Source organism: Homo sapiens, chromosome 17 (genome assembly GCF_000001405.40).
Source record: "Homo sapiens chromosome 17, GRCh38.p14 Primary Assembly".
Classification (NCBI taxonomy): domain Eukaryota; kingdom Metazoa; phylum Chordata; class Mammalia; order Primates; family Hominidae; genus Homo; species Homo sapiens.
This window is the reverse complement of record NC_000017.11, coordinates 39,980,497-40,004,288: the sequence shown is the minus strand read 5'-3', so window position 1 is coordinate 40,004,288 and position 23,792 is coordinate 39,980,497. Positions and strand designations below refer to the sequence as shown.

The 23,792-nt window shown below is 49.2% G+C and overlaps 1 protein-coding gene and 1 long non-coding RNA gene across 2 annotated transcripts, besides 5 other annotated features; one reads left to right on the top strand and one right to left on the bottom strand.

Annotated features, from left to right (window-relative positions):
- Nucleotides 1-6,329: 6,329 nt before the first annotated feature.
- PSMD3 (proteasome 26S subunit, non-ATPase 3) lies at nt 6,330-23,482 on the bottom strand. Its single transcript, NM_002809.4, has 12 exons — nt 23,099-23,482; nt 19,805-19,995; nt 17,577-17,714; nt 15,470-15,606; nt 14,360-14,550; nt 14,092-14,195; nt 9,221-9,335; nt 8,994-9,113; nt 8,762-8,865; nt 7,951-8,106; nt 6,909-6,959; nt 6,330-6,785 (listed from the first exon to the last, which is right to left on the bottom strand). Exons 1-12 carry the CDS (start codon nt 23,316-23,318, stop codon nt 6,708-6,710), a joined length of 1,605 nt encoding a protein of 534 aa, NP_002800.2. The 5' UTR covers nt 23,319-23,482; the 3' UTR covers nt 6,330-6,707.
- Nucleotides 9,342-17,591, top strand: LOC124904000 (uncharacterized). Its single transcript, XR_007065751.1, has 3 exons — nt 9,342-12,696; nt 15,394-15,695; nt 17,507-17,591. It is a non-coding gene; the product is annotated as an uncharacterized LOC124904000 (long non-coding RNA).
- Nucleotides 11,855-12,032: a silencer, noted in NCBI's record as "fragment chr17:38148510-38148687 (GRCh37/hg19 assembly coordinates)". NCBI's record gives its function as "represses an EF-1alpha promoter that drives an FKBP-Casp9 reporter gene in an ReSE screen in HepG2 liver carcinoma cells {active_cell/tissue: HepG2}" and the evidence as "EXISTENCE:reporter gene assay evidence [ECO:0000049][PMID:32094911]".
- Nucleotides 22,594-23,571: an enhancer, noted in NCBI's record as "NANOG-H3K27ac-H3K4me1 hESC enhancer chr17:38136971-38137948 (GRCh37/hg19 assembly coordinates)". NCBI's record gives its function as "activates a minimal SCP1, AML or CMV promoter by ChIP-STARR-seq in naive and primed H9 embryonic stem cells {active_cell/tissue: H9 hESC(naive and primed)}" and the evidence as "EXISTENCE:reporter gene assay evidence [ECO:0000049][PMID:30033119]".
- Nucleotides 22,594-23,651: a biological region, named in NCBI's record as "NANOG-H3K27ac-H3K4me1 hESC enhancer GRCh37_chr17:38136971-38137948".
- Nucleotides 23,142-23,191: a silencer, noted in NCBI's record as "silent region_8470". NCBI's record gives its function as "represses an Ori minimal core promoter by ATAC-STARR-seq in GM12878 lymphoblastoid cells {active_cell/tissue: GM12878}" and the evidence as "EXISTENCE:reporter gene assay evidence [ECO:0000049][PMID:35858748]".
- Nucleotides 23,372-23,651: an enhancer, noted in NCBI's record as "active region_12121". NCBI's record gives its function as "activates an Ori minimal core promoter by ATAC-STARR-seq in GM12878 lymphoblastoid cells {active_cell/tissue: GM12878}" and the evidence as "EXISTENCE:reporter gene assay evidence [ECO:0000049][PMID:35858748]".

The following is a 23,792-nucleotide window of genomic DNA, read 5'->3' as shown; positions in this document are numbered from 1 at the left end:
GGACGGATCACTTGAGCCCAGAAGTTCAAGTCCAGCCTGGGCAACATTGCAAGACCCCATCTCTACAAAAAAATAAAAAATTAGCTGGGTGTGGTGGCACTCACCTATAGTCCCAGTTACTTGGGAGGCTGAGGTGAGAGGATCATCTACCTGAGCCCGAAGAGGTCAAGGCTACAGTGAGCTGTGATAGTGCCACTGATTTCAGCCTGGATGACAGAGTGAGACCCTGTCTCAAAAAAAAAAAGTTAGGTTTACACTATACCGTAGTCTATTAAGTGTGCAATAGCATTATATTTAAAAACATATATATGTACATACTTTAATTTAAAAATAATTGGCCGGGCGCAGTGGCTCGTGCCTGTAATCCCAGCACTTTGGGAGGCCGAGACGGGTGGATCACCTGAGGTCAGGAGTTCGAGACCAGCCTGGACAACATAGTTAAACCCCGTCTCTACTAAAAGTACAAAAATTAGCCGGGTGTGGTAGCTGGCGCCTATAGTCCCAGCTACTCAGGAGGCTGAGGCAGGAGAATCGCTTGAATCCGGAGGCAGAGGTTGCAGTGAGCCAAGAATGCACCATTGCACTCCAGCCTAGGTGACAGAGCAAGACTCTGCCTCAAAAAACAAAACAAAACAAAACAAAAAACCTTTATTGCTAAAAATGCTAACAATCATCTGTGCCTTCAGCAAGTCCTAATCTTTTTGCTAGTGAAGGGTCTTGCCTCATGTTGATGACCACTCACTGATCAGGGTGGTGGCTGGTGAAGTTTGGGGTGACTGTAGCAATTTCTTTTTTTTTTCCTTATTTTTGTTTTTATTTTTCCTAGTGCCTTCAGGTGAAAACAATTTCTTAAAATAAGAAAATAATGAAATTTTCTGCATCAATTGACTTTTCTTTTTTCATTTTTGTGTTTTTGTTTGTTTTGTTTTGTTTTGAGATGGGGTCTCCCTCTGTTGCCCAGGCTGGAGTGCAGTGGCACGATCCCGGCTCACTGCAAGCTCCGCCTCCCAGATTCAAGCAATTTTCCTGCCTCAGCCTCCCAAGAAGCTGGGATTACAGGCTCCCACCACCATGCCCGTCTCATTTTTGTATTTTTAGTAGGGACGAGATTTCACCATGTTGGCCAGGTTGGTCTCGAACTCCTGACCTCAGGTGATCTGCCCGCCTCGGCCTCCCAAAGTGCTGGCATTACAGGTGTGAGCCACCATGCCCGGCCGACTCTCCATTTCTAGAAAGGTTTCTCTATAGCATATGATGCTGTTTGACATCGTTCTACCCACAGTAGAACTTCTTTCAAAATTGAAGTCAATGCTGGCCTGGAGCGGTGGCTCACGCCTGTAATCACAGCACTTTGGGAGGCTGAGGCGGGTGGATCACCTGAGGTCAGGAGTTCGAGACCAGCCTGGCCAACATGGTGAAACCCCATCTCTTCCAAAAATAGAAAAAAATTAACTGGGCGTGGTGGCGTGCACCTGTAGTCCCAGCTACTGGGGAGGCTGAGGTGGGAGAACCTCTTGGACCCAGGAGGTGGAGGTTGCAGTGAGCCAAGATCATGCCACTGCACTGCACTCCAGCCTGGGCGACAGAGCAAGACTCCATCTCAAAAAAAAAAAAAAAGAAAGAAAGAAATGGAGTCAATCCTCTCAAACTGCTGCTGCTTTATCAACTAAGTATATGTAATATCCTAAATCTTTGTTGCCATTTCAGCAATGTTCACAGCCTCTTCACCGGGAGTAGATTCCATCTCAAGAAACCACTTTCCTTGCTCATCCATAGAAGCAACTCATCTGTTCAAATGTTATCATGAGATGGCAGCAATTCAGTCCCATCTTCAGGCTCCACTTTTTTTTTTTTTTTTTTTTTTTTTGTAGAGACGAGGTCTTGCTATGTTACCCAGGTTGGTTTGGAACTTCTGAGCTCAAGTTATCCTCCTGCCCTGGCCTCCCAAATTGCTGGGATTGCAGGTGTGAGCCAGTGGGCCTGGCCTCAGGGTCCACTTCTAATTCTAGTTCTTTTGCTATTTCTACATCTGCAGTTTTTTCCTCCACTGAAGTGTGTCTTCAGCCCCTCAAAGTCACCCATGAAGGTTGTAATCAACTTCTTTCAAACTCCTGCTAATGTTAATTTTTTGAGATGGAGCCTTGCTTTTGTCACCCAGGCTGGAGTGCAATGGCATGATCTCGGCTCACTGCAACCTCCGCCTCCCGGGTTCAAGCGATTCTCCTGCCTCAGCCTCCCAAATAGCTGGGGTTACAGGAAAGCGCCACCATGCCCGGCTAATTTTGTATTTTTAGTAGAGATGTGGTTTCACCATGTTGGTCAGGCTGGTCTCGAACTCCTGTCCTCAAGTGATCCACCCGCTTCATCCTCCCAAAGTGCTGGAGTTACAGGTGTGAGCCGCTGCACTCGGCCTAATTTTTAAATTTTTTTAATACAGATGGGTTCTCACTTTGTTATTCAGGCTGCTCTTGGCCTCCTGGGCTCAAGCGATCTTCTTGCCTCAGCCTCCCAAAGTGCTGGAATTATAGGTGTCAGCCACCACTCCCGGCCTAATCATGAATATTCTTTTTTTGTTTTTTGAGAGAGTCTCACTCTGTCACCCAGGCTGAAGTGCATTGGCACGATCTCGGCTCACTGCAACCTCTGCCTCCCGGATTCAAGCGATTCTCATGTCTCAGCCTCCCGAGTAGCTGGGACTACAGGTGCGTGCCACCATACCTGACTAAGTTTTGTATTTATTTATTTATTTATTTATTTATTTATTTATTTATTTATTTTTAGTGGAGATGGAGTTTCACCATGTTGGCCAGCTTGGTCTCAAACTCCTGACCTCAGTTTATCCACCTGCCTCAGCCTCCCAAAGTGCTGGGATTATAGGCATGAGCCACCACGTCCGGCCCTAATCATGAATATTCTTAATGGCATCTAGAATGATGAATGCTTTCTAAGTTTTCAGTTTACCCAGATCCATCAGCGGAATCACTATGGCAGCTCTAGCCTTACAAAATGTATTTCTTAAAAAAGACTTGAAAGTTGAAATTACTTCTTCATCCATGGGCTGCAGAATGGATGTGTTAGCAGGAATGAAAACAATATTATTTCCCTGGTATCCCTCCATCAGAGCCCTTGGGTAATCAGGTGCATCGTCAATCAGCAGTAATAACTTTAAAAAATATTTTTTTTGGCTGAGTGCGGTGGCTCATGCCTGTAATCCCAGCTACTCAGGAGGCTGAGGCAGGAGAATCGCTTGAACCTAGAAGCAGAGGTTGCAGTGAGCTGAGATCATGCCACGGCACTCCAGCCTGGCCGACAGAGCCGACGAAGGAGTTGGTCTCAACAGTGGCTTAAAATGTTCGGTAAACCATGCTGGGAACAGATGGGCTGTCATCCAGGCTTTGTTGTTCCATCCACAGAGCACAGGCAGAATAGATTTAGCATCATTCTTAAGAGCCCTGGGATTTTCGGAATGGTAAATGAGCATTGGCTTCAACTTAAAGTCGCCAGCTGCATTAGCCCTAACGAGAGTCAGCCTGTCCTTCGAAGCTTTGAAGCCAGGGATTGACTTCTCTTCTGTAGCTATGAAAGTCCCAGGTGGCATCTTCTTCCAATAGAAGGCTGTTTGTCTACATTGAAAGTCTGTTTTTGAGTGTAGCCACCTTCGTCAGTGAGATCAGCTAGATCTGATGGATAACTTACTGCAGCTTCTCCATCAGCACTTGCTGCTTCACTTTGCACTTTTATGTTACAGAGACGGCTTCTTTCTTTCAACCTCACAAAACAACCTCTGTTAGCTTCTGACTTTTCTTCTGCAACTTTCTCACCTCTCTCTGCCTTCAAAGGATTGAAGAGAGTGAGGGCCTTTCTCCGGACTAGGCTTTGGCTTAAAGGAATGTTGTGGCTGATTTGATCTTCTTTCCAGACTCAAACTTTCTCCGTATCAGCAATAATGCTATTCTGCTTTCATATCATTTGTGTGTCCACTAGAGCAGCACTTTTAATTTAATTTATCATTTTTATTTTTTATTGTTTTGAGACAGAATTTCGCTCTGTCACCCAGGTTGGAGTGCAGTGGTGCGATCTTGACTCATGGTAACCTCCGCCTCCCCACTTCAAGCGATTCTCCTGCCTCAGCGTCCTAAGTAGTTCGGAGTACAGGCATGCACCACCACGCCCAGCTAATTTTTTGTATTTTTAGTAGAGATGGGGTCTTGCCATGTTGGCCAGGCTGGTCTCGAACTCTTTTTAAAACATTTTTTTTGAGACAGAGTTTCGCTTTTGTTACCCAGGCTGAAGTGCAGTGGTGTGATCTCGGCTCACTGCAACCTCTGCCTTCCGGTTTCAAGGATTCTCCTATCTCAGCCTCCCGAGTAGCTGGGATTACAGGCGCCCACTGCCATGCCTGGCTAGTTTTTGTATTTGTAGTAGAGACGGGGTTTCACCATGCTGGCCAGGCTGGTCTCGAACTCCTGACCTTGTGATCTGCCCGCCTCAGCCTCCCAAAGTGCTGGGATTACAGTTGTGAGCCACCGTGCCCAACCTGGAGCAGCACTTTTAATTTCCTTAAAGAACTCCCCCTTCACAACTTGGCTACCTGTTTGGTGCAGGAGACCTGACTTTTGGCCTCTCTCAGCTTTCAACATGCCTTCCTCACTAAGCATAATCATTTTGACCTTTTGATTGAAAGTGAGAGATGTGTGATTCTTTCTCCCTTTTTCTGTTTTCTTGTTTTGAGACAGGGTCTCACTGTCGCCCAGGTGGGAGTGCAGTGGCAGGATCTCAGGTCACTGCAGCCTCTGCCTTCACCTCCCAGGCTCAAGGGCTCCTTCCACCTCAGGCTTCCTAGTAGCTGGGACTACAGGTGCGTGCCACATGCCCAGCTAATTTTTATATTTTTTGTAGCGATAAGGTTTCATTGTGTTGCCCAGGCTGATCTCCAACTCCTGAGCTCAAGGGGTCCACCAGCCTTGGCCTCCCAAAGTGCTGGGATAACAGGCGTGAGTCACCAGGCCTGGCCAATGACTCTTTCTCTCACTGGAACACTTAAGAGGCCATTGTAGGGTTACTAACAGGCCTAATTTCAATATTATTTTGTGTCTCAGGGCATGGAGAGACTCAAGAAGAGGGAGAGAGACAGGGAATGGAGTGAGCAGTGTGAGCAGTGAGAACACACTCGACATTTATTAAGTTCACCATCTTTTTTTTTTTTTTGACAATGTCTCACTGTGTCACCCAGGCTGGAGTGCAATGGCACGATCTTGGCTCACTGGAACCTCCGCCTCCTGGGTTCAAGCAATTCTCCTGCCTCAGTCTCCCAAGTAGCTGGGATTACAGGCGCCTGCCACCACACCCGGCTGTTTTTTGTATTTTTAGTAGAGACGGGGTTTCCCCATGTTGTCCAAGCTGGTCCTGAACTCCTGACCTCAGGTGATCCACCTGCCTCGGCCTGCCAAAGTGCTGGGATTACAAGCGCGAGCCACCGTGCCCGGCTAAGTTCACCATCCTATATGGGTGCAATTTGTGGTGCCCCAACAATGACAATAGTAACATCAAAGATCACCGATCACACATCACCATAACAGATATAATGAAAAAGTTTGAGATATCGAGAGGATTTACCAAAATGTGACCCAGAGACGCTAAGTGAGCACATGCTGTTGGGAAAATGGCACCGACAGATTTGCTTGATGCAGTGTTGCCAGAAACCTTCAATTTGTCCTTTTCTTTTTCTTTTGAGACACAGTCTCACTCTGTTGCCCAGGCTGGAGTGCAGTGGCGAGATCTTGGCTCACTGCATGCTCCACCTCCCGGGTTCAAGCAATTCTCCTGCTTCAGCCTCCCAAGTAGCTGGGATTACAGGCGCCTGCCTCCATGCCCAGCTGATTTTTTTATTTTTAGTAGAGACGGGGTTTTGCCATGTTGGCCAGGCTGGTCTCAAACTCCTGACCTTTAGTGATCCGCCCACCTTAGCCTCCCAAAGTGTTGGGATTACAGGCATGAGCCACCATGCCTGGCCAAACCTTCAATTTGTAAAAACTGCAATAACCGTGAAGCACCATGAGGTGTATTGGGAGATGAAGGTCTGCAGCTGGTGATGGACACATGGTACACCTTTCCTAACAAGACCTTACCAAAGCCACACAAGTACGAAAAGAGAGTAAACCTAGGCCCCCGACCCCAGGTCAGGGTCCCTTCATCCTCCCCTGGGCACCTCCCCATCTGCAGACCCATCGCCCTCAGATTACACACCTGGGGCTAGTACTCTAAGGCCAAAAAACCCAAAATCTGAGCCTGCCAATACTGCAGTGAAGTATAGTAACTGATGCACAAAGCACTGTGGAGAACTTTTTATTGTTTAAAAATCATAATCGAAGCTTCAAAAAACATACAAGCCAAGACATCCCAGTTCTAGTCCCCCACTCCCTAAAGGAGTACACAGAACTATCCTTCCCCTCCTGCTCCCACACTGCTGGCCAGGACCCTGCCCGGGGAGGTTGCCTGCCCACCCTCCTGCCTGCTGTACAGTAAGTCACCGGCTGGGGAGGAGCCCTGGGGGAGGTCAGGGTGGCTGGCTCCCAGCACCCCCACCCCCTGCACGAATGCAGCATATGAGCTGTGTGTGGGAAAATGGGGACAGTGCCCTGGGCAGGGGACCCCCAAGGGGGAAAGAGCCTGTCCCCATTCCCCCTACCCCTCCCCAGCCCCCCAGCTCAAGGGAAGCTGTCATCATCATCTTCTGCCATCTCCTTGGCAAACTCCAAGTCCTGCTGTTCTCGCTCACGCCGTTCCTGGGGAGAGAGGCAAGTGAGGCCAAAGCTTCAGAGCAGCTCAGCCCTTCCAGACACTCGCCCGACTCCCCTTCTGTGTGGAAGTTTGACCTTTCGGTCTCACCCAGAAAGCAGAGAGCTTACCTCTGCAGACTCCAAGTCCTTGTTGTACGATTTGGGAGGAAACCTCATGGCCTGGGGCACAGCAAAGAGAGGAGATGAGCGAGGGAAGGAAGCAGGTGAGGCACTCACGCAACCTGCACTCCCTGCGTCCCCTCTGTGAGCTAGACACCAGGCAGGAAGCGGCGGGCCCCTCTCCAGTTAGTCTAGTGGGGGGCTAGGCATCAAAGGAATTATTACAGTGCCCTGTGGGAAATGCTGAAAAAAGAGGAATAAACGACCAACTCTCTTGACTGGGCAGGGAGGAGGAAAAGGAGGAACACAGTGGATGTGGCAACGGGGAGAGGCCTTCCCGGTGGAGGATTCCATGTGGGAGGGGCCTGGCCTGCACCCAGTGGGCTGGCTGCTGGGTGGTGGGGCAGGAGTGGGAGGGGAGGCTTGACCTAAGGGACCAGGTCACAAAGGGCCTTGCATGTCACGTGGAGTAGGGCTTAGCCAGATTTTAAGCAAGGCAGCAATATCCTAGTTTCCTCGGAGGAGACCAGAAAAAAACATGGCAAGCAAATAGTAACAGCGCCAAACTCAGTGCTTAACTGAGGATAAGGGCTCACCCTTTTGTGGAGCTAGATACCAGCGCCATCTTTTTTACAATTTAGACTTCGCTAAGTGCCTCAATACAGGGACTTCTTTTAATCTTACCAACCCTGTGAAGCAAGCAAGACAGGTAACACCTCCCTATCAGCTTCAGAGATGGAGAAACAGAGCTTTGAGAAGTTAAATGCCTCAAATTTGGAACCAAATGTAGAACCCCGCCCTCTGAATCCCTGCCTGGTCCTCCCTGGTGACCACATCATCCCTTAAACGCAATAGGAGAGGGCAACTGGCTATGGAACTATGGCCAAGTCCCCTCCCCATTCTGGGCCCCCTGTGCTGCAGCTCAGTGATTTTACAGAGATTGGCTGGGACGTGGGCCACAAATTAAGCCAGTCTTCTCTGAGGAATCCATGAGTGTGGAGGGAGGGGTGTGCTGCTGCCAGGCGTGACTCTGCAGCCACGGGCTTCTCACCTTGACAGACATGTTGTGGATATCTAGGCAGAAGGAGATGCGCTGGTGGAAGGCTAGCTGGGGCTCTCGGGTGGAATAGATGTCAATCATCTCCTTGGATTGGACATAGCCCTTCTCGTGGTTGATGCTGGCCTCAATGACACCATCCCGGATGGCCTGCAGGCCCCCAAAGAGGAAAGTTCACCAGCACACCCAGCTTCTTCTTTTTTTTTTTTTTTGAGATGGAGTCTCGCTCTGTCACCCAGGCAGGAGAGTGCGGTGGTGCGATCTCAGCTCACTGCAACCTTTACCTCCCGGGTTCAAGCGATTCTCCTGCCTCAGCCTCCCAAGTAGCTGGGATTACAGGAACCTGCCACCAGGCCTGGCTAATTTTTGTATTTTCAGTAGAGATGGGGTTTCGCCAAGTTGGCCAGGCTTGTCTCAAACTCCTGACCTCAGGTGATCTGCCCATGTCAGCCTCCCAAAGTGCTGGGATTACAGGCATGAGCCACTGCGCCTGGCCCAGCACGCCCATCTTCTAAGTCAGAGAACATCTTGTTCCATCCCATTCCTCTGCCCTCCTTATATTCTCACACTCACAGGCACTATCATAAACTCAACATGTGCACACACCTACACTCACACACTCACATGCACATCCATGCTCTCTCTGGCAACTTCTTGGCTTCACTGCAAATGACGGGCACGCCCTGAAATGACTATGCCATTGCTTTACCTATTCCCCTCCTTGGCCAAACTCCTCCCACTCCTGCCTCCTGAGATTGGCAGGAAAGTGACAACCTGGTCACTGTGGTTCCTGAACCAGCCCCACCTTGGCAACAATGAACTCTGCATCTTCGGGGCTATCCAACTGCAGCTTCTGGGCGATGTCAGCCAAGGAGATTCGGGAATAGGAGAGGCTGATCATGCGTACACCTGGGAGAGGAAGGAGCGATGGGGTGGGCAGAGTGGACACAGACCCTTCACTTGCCCAAGGATACCCACTAGGTTTGCCCTGGCCTGGCTTCTGCTCCTCCAACAGCCCCTCAGATCCTGATCCACACCTGTCTTAATCACGTTGTGCCGCAGCCGGATAATTAGGGTGTAGGTCCCATCTGCTTGAAACTTCTCCCCAAACTGATCCAGGACCTGGTTGAACTTGGCTAGGTTTCCTGTCCTGACAGCTGCAGGCAGAACAGGAGTAGATTGGATGATGCAAATAGGCACAGGCATGTAAGAGGCCCCACTGAAGGGGGCCTAGTGGGCTCTGGGGTGGGGAAGCCAGCCTTACCTTGAGTCAGAAGGAAATAGGGCATGAGTGAGCGCTTGAGGGAGGGCTGGCGGAACTGCAGCCGGTCAGGGATCTCCCCCAGCAACAGCTCCACCACGATGAGAAGCTTGTGCACCTGGACAGAGTGACAGGGGAACACAGTGGGCAGGGAGCCCCATGGGCGGAAGAAGAAAATGAAATGTGGCCTAAATTCTGCCAGATGTAGTGGGAAACAGGGAAAGGGATCACTGTTTAGGCCCAGAGAGAGGAGGAAGCCCTGAAAACCTGTGCTGGGCATAGAATCCAAGCTCTGCCTTTGGAGCCGGGTGCTGGGAATGTGGCCCTTTGGTCACATTTGGTCGCAGAGCCGTCAGCTGCATTTCACCTGGCCACCCCGCGCGTAGTCTGCTCTGAAATGACAGTGCTCTAAAGTGAGGCCAGAAGGGCGGGTGCTGTGGCTCAGCAACAGCGAGGGACCAGGGCTCACAGGCCTGGAGAACGGAACGTGTGTCAGCCAGAGATGCTCATTAGGGAGGCGGACTGTTACTAGAGGAGAGGAGGTCATCAGTGGGTAGAACTCATTATCTGGGTAGAGGCATAAGTGCAGGAAGGGGCCTGGCTTCAGTGAATGAGCAGAGTATCCAGACATAGAAGGGTAACTGGAAACCTGGACCTGTCTTCCTCTACAGGACTGTGAAGTATTTCCGAGTGGTGCTGACCGTGGGTGGAGTCAGCATCGCGGAAGAACTACAGTGGAGGGAATGACGCCCCCCAACTCAGGAGTTCACCAGCAAACAGGAGGCACGGAACACAAAGCAGCTAAATCGTGGGGCAGCAAGTGTCACAGGAGACAGGGGTTACAACGGGAGTGTGTGATCACACCTACGGCCAGGCAGACCCTTCACCCTCCACAGGCACCCATGAGGCTGCCCTGTCCACTGGAATAACTCATGTGTGAGGGGAAATCCCTGGAAATGGTTAATTTATGAAGTGCCTTAAGGAGTCTGACAAAGCAGAAAAAGGAGGAGGGTCAAGGGTACAGATTGAAAAAGAGGCAGAAAAGTGTGGGTGCCTGGGGAGCTGTTAGGAAAGAGACAGTTGGGACCGCAGTCTGGGGACTATGCCATTGCCATTTTGTGTGCCAGGCTGAGCAGTATAAAGTCTGCACGTAGAACACTTGGTGTCTAGTCTCTATTCACTAGCTAGGAAACACTGAGCAACTGGGTCCTTAGTTCCTCATCTCTAAAACTACCAAATAACAATAACAATACCTAGCCTGTCTACCTCACAAGACCGTTATGATACCCTACAGCAGTGGGGAGCAATGGAAGCTTCCCAGGCAAGGGAAGGACAGAGCTGGAGCTCTGCTTAGTAAGGCAAGTGAATGTAAGCTGGGCTGCTGGAGAGGAAGATGACCAGGCAGAAGTGTCTGGGAATGTTAGTGGCTCAAACCATGGCACTGGCAATATGAAGGAACAGGCAAACACAGAAGATGTGCAGACAATTCAACAGACGACCAAGTGATGGGAAGGAGGATGGGGGAGAGTCAGAGATGATCCCAAGGCCCTGATCTGGATCGGGAAAGCAGGAGGAAGGAATGGTAAGGGGGCCAGGAGGGATCTCTTTGGGACACGCTGTAGAGAGAGACATGGGGAGTGGGAGGGGGAGCTGGATCTGCAGGCCTGATGCTCGTGAGAGGGGTCAGAGTTAGTGTTATGGGCTAAACTGCATCCCCCTCAAGTTCATGTTAGAGACCTAAACCCCAGTACCTCAGAATGGGACTCTATTTGGACACAGGGCCTTTAAAGAGGTAATTATGGTAAAGTGAGGTCATATGGGTGGACCCTAATCCTACATGACTATTGTCCTTCTAAGACAAAAGCAGGACACAGACACGCACAGAGGGAAGACCATGTGAAAACACCAGGAGACGGCCATCGACAAGCAGACGAGAGAGGCCCTCAGAAGAAACCAATCGTGTCACACTTTGCTGTTGGACTTAGAGCCTCCAGAATTGTGATGAAATCAATTTCGGTTGTTTAAGCCGCCAAGTCTGTGGGACCTTGCGGTGGCAGTGCCAGCAGAGTAACGGAGTTAGTAATGTACAGGCTGAAGAGCATCATGCAGGCGAGCGCTGAAGCTGGGAAAGCAAACAAGGTCACTCAAGGAGAGAATGAGGGTTTTACTATCGACAGAGAAGCTCTCAGAGTGCTCTGCTGAGGCCCAGGTGGTGAGAAGGAGCAGAGAGAACACTGGAGGGAAGGGGCTGGCCAGTGCACTGTTGGGGAGGGAGCCAGGGGAGACAGGAACGGCCGCCTGAGAGAGGAAGCAGCAGGGCTGGGGGTTTTCTTCCCGGAGACTGAAGCAAACAGGTGATGGGCCAAGGCTAGAAGAGAGAGGAAGGAGTGTGATGGAAAACACAGGTAGTGAAGCTGGTGTTAAGTAAAGACAGGGAGGGTGAAAATGGGCGGAGAGAGACATTCAAGTTTACAAGAGACAAGGTGGCTGCAGGAATGAATGCTAGCTGACCTCCGCTTTGAACAGGATGAGCCAGCACCGCCCTCCTCAGAGCGCTCTGTGCCACCAGCAGCACTGGCATCACCCAAGGCCTGTTAGGAACACAGACTCTCTGAATCGGAATCTACAGCTTCATCAGAGCCCCAGGTGATTCTGTAAGCTGGGTGGTGACAGGGGTACGGCAAAGGTGTGTGAGGGCAGAGGGCAGAGGGCTGGTTGCAGGCCTTCTCCCAAACATGCCTTCACTCCCGCCCTCTCTCTCCCTGCGCTCCCTCACCAACAGCCCGAGACCTCTCTTCCAGCTCTCTACGCCTTCCTGCCACTGAGATTTAAATGCCTGAAAGCCTCTCTCATGGTACATGACACATTTTATATATGTTAATTACTAGTATTTTTAGTGATTTTCAAAAGAAACTTTAGTGTCTCTCATATTGTAAGCAATCTAACATTTTGCTCACGCACCCTGTGTGTCTGAAAAGCCTTTACTCCTTGTGAAAATCCTACCCATCTTTCAAAGACCAGTTCAATTTTAATGTTTGTTTTTTTTTGAGACAGAGTCTTGCTCTGTCGCCCAGGCTGCAGTGCAGTGGCACGATCATGGCTCACTGCAGCCTCGACTTCCTGGGCCCAAGTGATCCTTGCACCTCAGCCTCCCAAGTAGCTGGGACTACAGGTGCATGCCATCACGCCCAGCTAGGTTTTTAATTTTTGCAGAGGCGGTGTCTCCATATGTTGCTCAGGTTGGTCTCAAGCAATCCTCTTGCCACAGCCTCCCAAAGTGCTAGGATTACAGGTGTGAGCCCTGTACCTAGCCAACTTTTTCTTTAAGACCCTTTCTCTTTCATTATTTGATCAAAAACAAATCTGACTTTCTCTGAACTTCTGAACAGAAATAAAATGAATCTCCTACTACATTGACCTAATCAACACACGTCTCCCGTTCCCTGTCAAGACACCATGGAGGTGGATGTTGTGTGAAGGTAGGAGCAGAGGTTTGAATTTGGGAAGACTGGGTCTACATCCTGGCTACTGGGCTCTGTGACTTCACATACACCCTCAAGCTTTCTGACACAACATTCTTTATCTCTTTGAAATACTCTAATAATAAGAAATACCTGGCCTGGAGCGGTGGCTCACGCCTGTAATCCCAGGACTTTGGGAGGCTGAGGTGGGTGGATCACTTGAGGTCAGGAGTTCGAGACCAGCCTGGCCAACATGGTGAAACCCCATCTCTACTAAAAATACAAAAAATTAGCTGGGCGTGGTGGCAGGCGCCTGTAATCCCAGTTACTCGGGAGGCTGAGGCAGGAGAATCCCTTGAACCCCAAAGACAGGGGTTGCAGTGAGCCAAGATGGCACCTCTGTCTCCAGCCTGGGAGACAGAGCAAGACTCCGTTTCAAAAAAAAGAACCAAAAAAACAAACAAAAAAATTAGTTGGATGTGGTGGCAGGCGCCTGCCCAGCTACTGAGGAAGCTGAGGCAGGAGAATCACTTGAACTCGGGAGGCAGAGGTTGCAGTGAGAAAAGATCGTGCCATTGCACTCCAGCCTGAGTGACAGAGGGAGACTCTGTCTCAGAAAACAAAAAACGAAAGAAAAGAAAGAAAGATCACTTATTATCCTCCCTTCCTATCCCTTACAGTGCCTAATACCAAGGTTGATGCTTAAATACTTGCTGACTGACAGCTCTTAAGTGGCCAAGTTTTATGTTTACTTGAGCCACTCAGCCTTGCAGAGATTTTCTGGGTTCCTTGGCCACAGACAATACAGTTTCCAAATGTGAACATGAAGGACTAGATAAAAACCTGGGGTTTGTATCAACACAATCTAGGTCCAAGCCTGGAATGACTGTCAGGAGCGCTGGGGAATCAGGAATATTCTAAACCTATCTGCCAGAAACACTCTGAATATCCACTGCCAGAGGTGCAGGTAGTGTCTGCTTCATTGACACCCACAAATAGATGTGAAGCAACCTTTTGCAGACATGGCAGCTCGCACCTGCAATCTCAGCACTTAGGGAGGCAGAGGCCGAAGGATTGCTTGAGCCCAGGAGTTCTCACCTGAGCAACAGTGATATGCCTGTCTCCACACACACAAAAAATAATAATAAAAGTTGAAGTCCTTCTGGATAGGAAGGTTAAGGATGCCTTTCCTAGCCCCTAGCATAGAGAAGAGAACTGAAGTGGTAGGGAATGAGTAACAGGCAAAGGGGCCAGGCATGGTGGCTCATACCTGTGATCCCAGCACTTTGGGAAGCTGAGGTGGGAGGACTTCTTGAACCCAGGAGTTCAAGACCAGCCCAGGTAACATAGCAAGACACCATTTAAAAAAAAAAAAAAAAAAGAGGCAAAGGGATGATGGTAGTTGTGGCTCACCGTCTGTTTGAAGCCGACAGCTGTGTGCTGAGGGGCCTTGCGAAGGGCGTTGGTCATCGTTCTCCGGGCCTCTGAGTACTCCAGCTGGATGGCTTTGATTCGCCCTGGGAGTGGAGGAGAGGAGAGTTGGTCAACAGAGTAGGGTCATCCAACTCCCCACCGACAAGCCAGGGTGCCAAATGGGCCTCTTATGCACCACCCCTTGGAAAATTTGCACCAGGCAGGCCTGAGACACCTTCTGATTTATGGGTTGGGCCCCTCTGCTCACCTGTGTAGTAGAGGTACCTGGCCCACTCATTGTTGTTGGCCTGCTCTGGGAACACAGACTTGGACACCAGCTTCTCAGCCTGGTCGTACAAGCTGTAGTGTAGGTAATTCCGCAGCAGGAGGTTCAACAGGGTGGCCTGCCCGTCTGCGTCATGCCGAAGCGTAGCTGTCCGGAGCCGAGCATGCAAGAAGCTTCAAGAAGGAAAGAAAGATGTCAAAGCCTTCAAATCACAACTCTCTGAACTGCCTTTAACTCTTCGCTCTTTCTCAATTCCTTAAAAAAGTTATACAAATTGCTTTTCTGGTTATTTGCTGAATACTGTTAACTATCGAGTGCCTAAGGTGTACAGCACTATTCTGGGTGCGACAAAGGGACAAAACCCTGCCCTTAGGGAATGCAGTGCAGTGGGGGAGGCAATGGTCATGAGAAAGAAGCACAGCCTGCAGTGTGACAGAAGATGGGAGGCCTGTGAGGCCAGGGGAACTGCAATGGGGAATGCAGGACGTGAGAAAGATGAGTTGAACTTTTCAATAGCTTGGCCAAGGCAGGACTCACTGAGAAGGGATCAGTTAAGGGAAGGCTTGAAGGAGGCGGAGAGAAGAGTGTTCTGGACAGAGGGGCAGCCAGTGCAAAGGCTCTGAAGAAGAGTGTGCCGGGCACACCAGAGGAAAGGCAGGCCAGTGGGGCTGAGGAGCAGGAGGAGGTGAAGTCTGGGAGGTCAAAATGGAGCAGATCACGTCAGGCCTTATGAGGTATTGTAAGGACTTTGTCTTTCCTTGAGACGGGAAGCCACTGCAGGTTTTGAGCAAAGAAGTAAAATGTTTTCTAGCCTGTCCCTCCACCCCTAACCCACCCTCAGTCCTACCTTGATGTGGGGTGAAGGGAAGAACCTGGGGACAGTTCTTTACAGCCCAGCAGTGACCCACTTCTTCATCTAGCACCAGTCTCTCTCCCACACCCCTCACGTGGCGCAGGGCATGGGAACCACTGCCCCTCTTCCCTGCTTACATCTACAGGTTCTTCGCCCTCTGCAGATCCACAGCTGTGTGCTTGTGACTGACCAAGTCTCTGACCCCACGGACCCCAAGTGAGATGCTTGGCTGCCTGTACCTGCGCACCACATCCAGCTTGTCCAGGAACTCATAGACCCGGGCGTGATAATAGTAACACTTTGCGGCTACAAGGTCTAGGGCCCGGCGGTTCTGAGTACTGATCTTCTGCATCAGATCATCAGAGATCTTCTGTGCCTGGGGAGGAAGCCAAAAGAGAATCAAGTGGCAGTTCCTCAAAAGGATAAACATGGAGTTGTCATTTGAGCCAGCAATTCCTATCCTAGGTATGCAAGCCAAGAGAACTGGAAACTTAGGCTCACATAAAAGCATGTACACGAATGTTCACAGAAGCATTATTCATAACCAAAGAGTAGAAACAACCCAGGTGCCCGTCAGCTGATGAACAGATAAACAAAATGTGGCACATCCACACGAGGGAATATTACTCAGCCTTAAAAAGGAAGGAAGTACTGACACACACTACAACATGGGTCAACCTTGAAAACATGATGCTAAGTGAAAAAAGCCAGAAACCAAGGGCACACGGTGTGTAATTCCATTTACATGAAATGTCCAGAGTAAGTAAATCCTCAATAGAGACAGGGCAGATTAGTAGCGGCCAGGGGCTGGGTAAGGGGAAAATGAAAAGTGACTACTAATACGTATGGTGTTTCTTTGTGGGGTGATGAAAATGTTCTGGAATTAGGGGTGGATATACAACTTTGGGAATATACTAAAACCCACTCAATTGTAGTATACTTTATTTATTTGTTTGACGGAGTCTCGCTCTGTCACCAGGCTGGAGTGCAGTGGCACAATCCCGGCTCACCACAACCTCCGCCTCCCTGGTTCAAGCAATTCCCCTGCCTCAGCCTTCTGAGTAGCTGGGTCTACAGGCACACACCACCACGCCCGGCTAATTTTTTGTATTTTTAGTAAAGACAGGGTTTCACCATGTTGGCCAGGATGGTCTTGATTGTCTGACCTCATGATCTGCCTGCCTTGGCCTCCCAAGGTGCTGGGATTACAGGCGTGAGCCACCATACCTGGCCTGTAGTACACTTTAAAGGGGTGAATTATATCTCAAAAACAAACAGCCAAGTACAGTGGCACGTGCCTGTAATCCCAGCTACATGAGAGGCTGAGGCGGGAGGACTACCTGAGCCCAGGAGTTCAAGACCAGCTTGGTTAACATAGCAAGACCCCATCTCCAGTAAAAACAAAACAGTGGGCCAGGCGCAGTGGCTCATGCCTGTAACCCTAACACTTTGGGAGGCTGAGCCCAGGAAATCACTTGAGCCCAGGGGTTGGAGACCAGCTTGGCAAGAAGGTGAAATCCTGTCTCTACAAAAAAAATGCAAAGATTAGCTGGGCGTGGTGGCACATGCCTGTAGTCCCAGCTACCCAAGAAGCTGAGGTGGAAGGATCACTTAAGCCGGGGAGGTCAAGTGAACTGTGATCACACCACTGCCCTCCAGCATGGGCAACAAAGCAAGACCCAATCTCAAAAAAACCCCCAACCAAACAACAACCAAAAATAGTGTGGTAAGGAAAGGAAACAAACCAGGGAATTAAGGAGTGCGACTTACTTCCTGAGTGTGCTCCTGTGACAGTGGCTATGATGAACAAAGAAGCTGGCCCTAGCTGGGGGAGTGGTAGAAGTGCAGTTTGCAAATGGAGCTATTAGTCCATAATAACAGCTACCATTTATGAAAATATCACGAAAGCTTACTATATGCAGATCATTGCGCTAAGTATTTCTAAACAAATTATTTTATGTAACGCTAACCATCTTGTAAGGTAGGCACTATTATCCCCATCTTACATATAGCTGGGAGAAATTAATTTGCCTAGGGTATGGCTGGGATTGGAACCCAGGTCTTTCTGTCTCCAAATGCCCCTACTTTTCCCCAAGAATGTACTACGCTGGTATCCCCCACAGACCGGTACAGCATGACCACTGCAAGCCCTGTCCCACAGTGCCCAGAGCAAGAGTGGGTTCTCCTGGGATGTGGGATCAAACGCATACCTCTATGGGGAAAGAGTGTGGGGGACAGTTCTTAAGAATCAATGATTATTTCCATTTCTTCACCAGGGACCATCTCCCCGCCAAACCCCTTGCATCACTTGGGGCTTATGAATCGCTCTCACTGCATCCTGGATACCTCTTTGTAGCGCTTGCTGTTCATCATGAAGATGACCACGAGGAGTTGGAGATAGGCTTCCACTTCAGGCAGGAGGGGTGTCGACGCAGCTTTTCCCGTGCGGGGACGGAACTGTAAATCAGCCTCTGTGTCCATGGGCTAGGAGAGGACAGAAGTTACCATGGAAAAGCTCAGTCTGATCAAGTAACCAAGAATTTATTGAGCATCCACTATGTATTTCAACATATTTATTGAGTGTCTACCATGTGCCAAGATTTTGTTAGGTGCTAGGGATAAAAAAATAAAGATTACAGTCTTTCCCAAAGAAATCAAGGAGGAGCTGGGTGTGGTGGCTCACGCCGGTAGTGCCAGCTACCTGGAAGGCTGAGGCAGGAGAATGCTTGAGGCCAGGAATTTGAGACCAGTCTGGGCAACACAGTGAGACCCCATCTCTCAAAAAATAAAAAAGAACTAGCCAGGCATGGTGGCATGCACCTGTATTCCCAGCTACTCAGGAGGCTGAGGCAGGAGGACTGCTTGATACCAGGAGTCTGAGCCTGCACTGGGCCATAAGTGTGCCACCGTGCTTCAGCCTGGGTGACAGAGCAAGACCCCATCTCAAAAAAACAAAACAAGTCAAGGAGGCTGGCAATATAATATTAATAAACACAATAAAGTGTTACAGGAGAACAAAAAATTTCTTTACACAACATAATGGAGACAAAGGACGATGTAAGGAACCTTCAAAGAGGCTACAACCTAAGTGGAGACATTAAACCACCACACCTGGATCCACTGCAAATACTACTGGACAGGGCTGAACGAAATAATTCTAGAGATGAAATCAGAATAATGAGACCAAAAAATGGTTTCTTGTGGGAACAAAGAAAATTTAGGGAAAGTCAACATATAAACAAAACATATTTTCCTATGTTGTCACTGACACTGGAAAAAATAATGTGTTACAGTCACCCCCAAAATAATCACGTTTCGTGAGTTTAGCGATGTGAAGGTCAGAAAATATTCAAGGTGGAGTTGGGGGAACAGTACGCTTTTCCCCTTTCCCAGACAAGAAACTCTTCACTGCCCTGCCTCCAGGGATGTTCTGAGTTTCCCCATCCACGGAGCTGACTGAGTATACAGGATTTTAAGGAAATGCAGGTGCTGGAAGGTCAGTGGAATTGGAGAAGGCTGAGACCTGGCCCATGCCATGAATCATGAGGGAGAGTTTACAGCTACAGAGGATAAGGAGAGGTCTCTCCTGGCACGGAGGCGCCACCACCACCACCAAACTGACTTCGTCTGCATTCACTACGTACCAGGCACTGCTCTAGGAGCTTTATACTGCCCGCTTCCCAATCCGTTCATCACGTTTAACAAATGAAGAAAACGAGGCACAGCAAAATGAAGTCACTCGCCCAAGTCCCACAGGTACTAACTGTCAGGGTTTGGATTCAAATTCAACTCTACCTCTAAAATCTGTGGGGTTTTTTTTGTTTTGTTTTGAGGTAGGGGGGTCACCCTGTCACCTAGGCTAGAGTGCAGTGGTGCAATCTTGGTTCACTGCAATCTCCACCTCCTGCATTCAAGTGATCCTCCTGCCTCAGCCTCCCGAGTAGCTGGGACTACAGGCAGGTGCCACCATGCCTGGCTAATTTTTGTACTTTTTGCAGAGACAGGGTCTCACCATGTCGCCCAGGCTGGTCTCAAACTCCTGGGCGGGCAGATTGTTTGAATCCAGGCTGGACTCAAACGATCTGCTCGCCTCAGCCTCCCAAAGTGCTGGGATGACGATGTTAGCCACTGTGCCCGCCTCAGCCTCCCAAAGTGCTGGGAAGACAGGTGTGAGCCACTGTGCCTGGCCCTGACAGCTGTGCTCCTCCTAACCACTGTTCTCTACCTCCTCCATGGTGAAGCTTCAGAAGAAAGAGGCAGCAGCACCTTCTCTCTCCTAGAACAACAGAGAGGTCACCCAACGCAACCTCAACTGGAGTAGGGGGTACAGGTTGCAGGGTAGTGGGAAATGAGTTTGGCTGGGAGGGTCCTGATCCCCTGACTTTGAAGAATGACACTACAGGGCAGTGGACGGTTCCCTTGTCACTGTGCAGATGAGTATTCAAATGGACTGCTTTGGCTTCTCTCCTCATGCTACCACAGGTAATAAGATGGGACTTTAGGATGGAAAACAATGCTGTTCCTGGGGATCTGAGGCCAGGCCTGCACCCTTTAAGTTGGCCTGACTCACTCACCTCTTCCAGGAAGGGGAGCAAAAAGTCTCGAGTGGCATTATTTGAAGTGAAGAAGCCCTGCACAGCCTTATACAGAACATAGTGGTTGAGGCGGCGTGATGTGGAAGGCAGCATCCGCAGGGCCCGCAGCACGAATCTCGGCTCCTTGCCTGAAACCGCTTTCTCTAGCTGTTTCACGTGCTCCTTGATGTCTGAAGAAGAGCAGAGAAGAAAATGATGTCACTTTCACTCCTAGTCCCCCACCACTCCAGGCAAGGAGTTCTTTTTTTTTTTTTTTTTTTTTTTGAGACGGAGTCTCACTCTGTCGCCCAGGCCGGAGTGCAGTGGTGTGATCTCGGCTCACTGCAAGCTCTGCCTGCTGGGTTCACACCATTCTCCTGCCTCAGCCTCCCGAGTAGCTGGGACTACAGGCACCCGCCACCACGCCTGGCTAAATTTTTTGTATTTTTAGTAGAGACGGGGTTTCACCGTGTTAGCCAGGATGGTCTCGATCTCCTGACCTCGTGATCTGCCCGCCTTGGCCTCCCAAAGTGCTGGGATTATAGGCGTGAGCCACCGTGCCGGCCAGGCAAGGAGTTCTAAGGAGCCTCTCACAGAGGGGCAAAATGCGACCACTCACCTTTTCTGCCCTAATGGGGTCCATAATATTTACAGATTCCACACACTGATTTTAAGACATAACCAAGTGGCAAGAAAAACATACAGTGGGGGTGCAGGATGGGGTAGAGGATGACAGAGGAAGAAAAGAAAAACCAATTAACTACAGAAACCTGGAGTCCAGATTTATCAGATCTTAATGGAAAAGACTTTCTAAATGTGAACAATGGGAGAAATCACATACGCACAAAAGATTAATGGGCTTGACTTCATTTAAAAAAACCCTTTTAGATAACTGTGTATACAAAAGAAAAATATTTTCAACAAATGTGATCAAAGATTCATATTTTTATTCTATAAAGAGCTTGTATAAATGGTTAAGAGATATAATGGTATAATGATTATATTGCCACAATTTCAAAACAAAAATGGAGACGAACTAACATACAAAGAGGAAAAATAGCTAACAGACAAAAATTATATTCCATTAGTATTTGAGTAATTGCAAATGGAAACATTTTTAAACTACCAAATTTGTAACATTAAAAAAATTATAGGTGGGGCACAGTGGCTCACGCCTGTAATCCCAGTACTTTGGGAGGCTGAGGAGGGCGGATCATTAAGGGTAGCAGTTGGAGACCAGCCTGGCCAACATGGTGAAACCCAGTCTCTACTAAAAATAAAAAAATTAGCCGGGCGTGGTGGTGGGTGACCGTAATCCCAGCTACTCGGGAAGCTGAGGCAGGAGAATCGCTTGAACTTGGGAGGCAGAGGTTGCAGTGAGCCGAGATCGCGCCATTGCACTCCAGCCTGGGCAACAGAGCGAGACTCCGTCTCAAAAAAAAAAAAAAATTATAGAGTACAGTGAAAACTACATTTCTCCTGGTATAATGTAAATCAGCACAGTTTTTCTGGACAATAACTATCAAAAACCTTTAAAATGTTCAGCCTTTTAAACTCAGGCATATAGGTTTTGGTGGGAATCTGTACTGAAGAAATAATTAGAAAAGTAGATTTTTTAAGTTGGGCACAAAGATGATTGCTTCAAAGCTATTTATGATAGCAAGAAACTAGAAACAGTTTAAATGCAAAGCAATAAGGGAATGCAATCAATGAGTAGTTTCTTAGGCACTTCTGTATATTCACCGATTAGCACAGGGTATCTGGGCCACACTAATGATATAAATAATAACAGCTGATATTTATGTGCTAGGCACAGTTTTAAGCATTTTAATGTTCACAACAACCCAATAAAGTACTGTACTATTACTTGTATTTATACAGATGAGGGAACTAATTCCAGAACTTGTACTCTTAACCATTATATTGGGTATTCAATAAATGTTTCTGGAATAAATTGAATGCTGATTATGTTTACGAATGTTAATGAAAACACATAAAATTCAAAATTTATATTTAGTTATGCCTTGATACAAACTGTATACATAACTTGCTCTCAATTATAGGAGAACAGCTCAAAAATTCACAAGAAAAAATGTTAACCATGTTTTTTATCCCCTGCTTTTAACTTCTCATACATTCCACAATTTCTGCAATGAATATGAATTACTTTACAAGAAGAAAATGAAGTGCCTGTAATAAACACACCCAGTAGGCAATGCTGAGTGGCACCTTTGACATTGCTGCCACTACTTTAGGTAAAAGGATCTCTATTAAATATCGATCCTGTTGCTCAACTTTACAGTAAGAGCTGATGTAGTCAACACCATCACATCCTCAAAAGCACCACCTAGGAGGATAACTTTGCTTATCTCAATGTTTTTGAGCTAGTTTCTCACGCATTTTAGTGAAAAGAAAACCTAGTAAGTAGTCTGGTCCCACTTGATCCAGAACCAGGAAAATGGCACCAGGATCACAGTGGGAAGCTCTCACTTTGCCCACTTCAAATGGAAACAGGACGCTGTAAGTGGGAAAAGTAAAACATGAACTTGGAGGAACAAGAGGACTACAGACACTCGAAACAGGAACCTCGGAGAAAAGAAATAGGAGACACCGGTATATAGGAGTTTAGGCCAAAGGTTGAGTATTACAAAACCAAACAAAGATGACACCCGAAAAGTTTTAAGTGTGTATGTACTTAAACCCTTTAGAAACAGAGGGGCAGTAAGGACCTGAAGGGAGGAGACAGCAAGGGGACTGTTGGGACACTTCAGTTAGAGAAGTAGGAAACAAGATACTAGGTCGAAATGGTTCATTCGGGGGAGTGTGCTAAAGGCAGCTAGGACAACAAAAATCTGCTGTACAGTTTTAAAACTCAGGAGTCAATATTCTAGGTCATCCTGGCCCTGTTTACACACAGACACAAACACTGGTTTCCAGCGGGAACAATCAGTCATATATTGGAGGCGCTAAAATCAGTCGGGTGGGATATAAACGGAATAGGTCAGAGGGGAGGACTTAAAAGAGGGAGTCCCCAGGCCCACTGGGACCTAGATATAGATGCAACCCCAGATATGGGGATGGAGGGGATGGGAGGGGAGTGGTTCCCAGCCTGGAGAGAAGGTTCAGTCATTGGGCCTGGAGTCGGGAGTGTCGGGGCAGTGGGAGCAGGTATCTGGGGGTGATCCCAAAGAACTGAGGGTGGTGGAGGCTGCTGTGGCTTCCCAGCAAGAAGCCAAATCACAGGGGTCGCTGTCACCCGCGATCGCGGCACGTTCCCGGCCTGGGCTGCCGTACCCTCCAAGGTGACTGTGTCCAGCTCTCGCTGGGAGTGCTCAGCCGCTGCCGCCGCCGTCTTGCCGTCTGCCTCCCCCGTCGACCCGCCACCCGTCGCTGCCTCCTCTTTCATCTCCACATCCTGGGGGGCCGGCGGCGGTGGGGGTTCTTGTTCTCCTCCGCCGGGCGGCGGTTTCGCCTTGTCCGCGCCGCGGCGCCGCGCCGAGCCCTCCTGCTTCATGGCACCCGGGGTCACGGCCTAGTCCGGGGACCGAGGCCGGGGCCTCGCGTTAACCCTCGCACCGGGGACCAGGAGCCGAGCCGGGCCTGCACACGAGCGCGAGATAGCGTCGGGCCGCACGATGACGGAGCAGCTGCAAACCCCTTCCCGGCGCTGGGCCTTCTGGGAAACGCCAGGCCCGGCAGGCCGATGGCCGAGTCAACAAAGGGGAAATAAATCCACAGCCGAGGTGCAGGATGAAGGAGGAGCTTCGAGGAAGGAGCGGGGAGGAGCCTTTATGGGTTCGTGGGGCTTTCTTTCGAGCGCTTAAGTGTGATGCTTTTATGTTCCTCTCGAGTGCATTTCTGTGGGCGTCCACGAGAGGTCCCCTCAGGCTCCAATCTGGGTTACAAAGGACTTTAAGAGCGCCTCAACCAGCGTGGAGTGGGTACAGCCTATCCGAGCGCGGGACGAGATGACGTCACGAGTTGCCGG

Bases quoted from the DNA above. Each gene is read 5' to 3' on its own strand.
- PSMD3 (NM_002809.4), bottom strand. From the start codon at position 23,318: ATGAAGCAGGAGGGCTCGGCGCGGCGCCGCGGCGCGGACAAGGCGAAA. The intron at 17,715-19,804 runs GTGAGTGAGTCA...GTCCTCTCCTAG, and splicing joins TGCTCCCCTTCCTGGAAGAG to CCCATGGACACAGAGGCTGA. The intron at 9,336-14,091 runs GTGAGCCACAAC...CACTCTGTCCAG, and splicing joins CTGTCGGCTTCAAACAGACG to GTGCACAAGCTTCTCATCGT.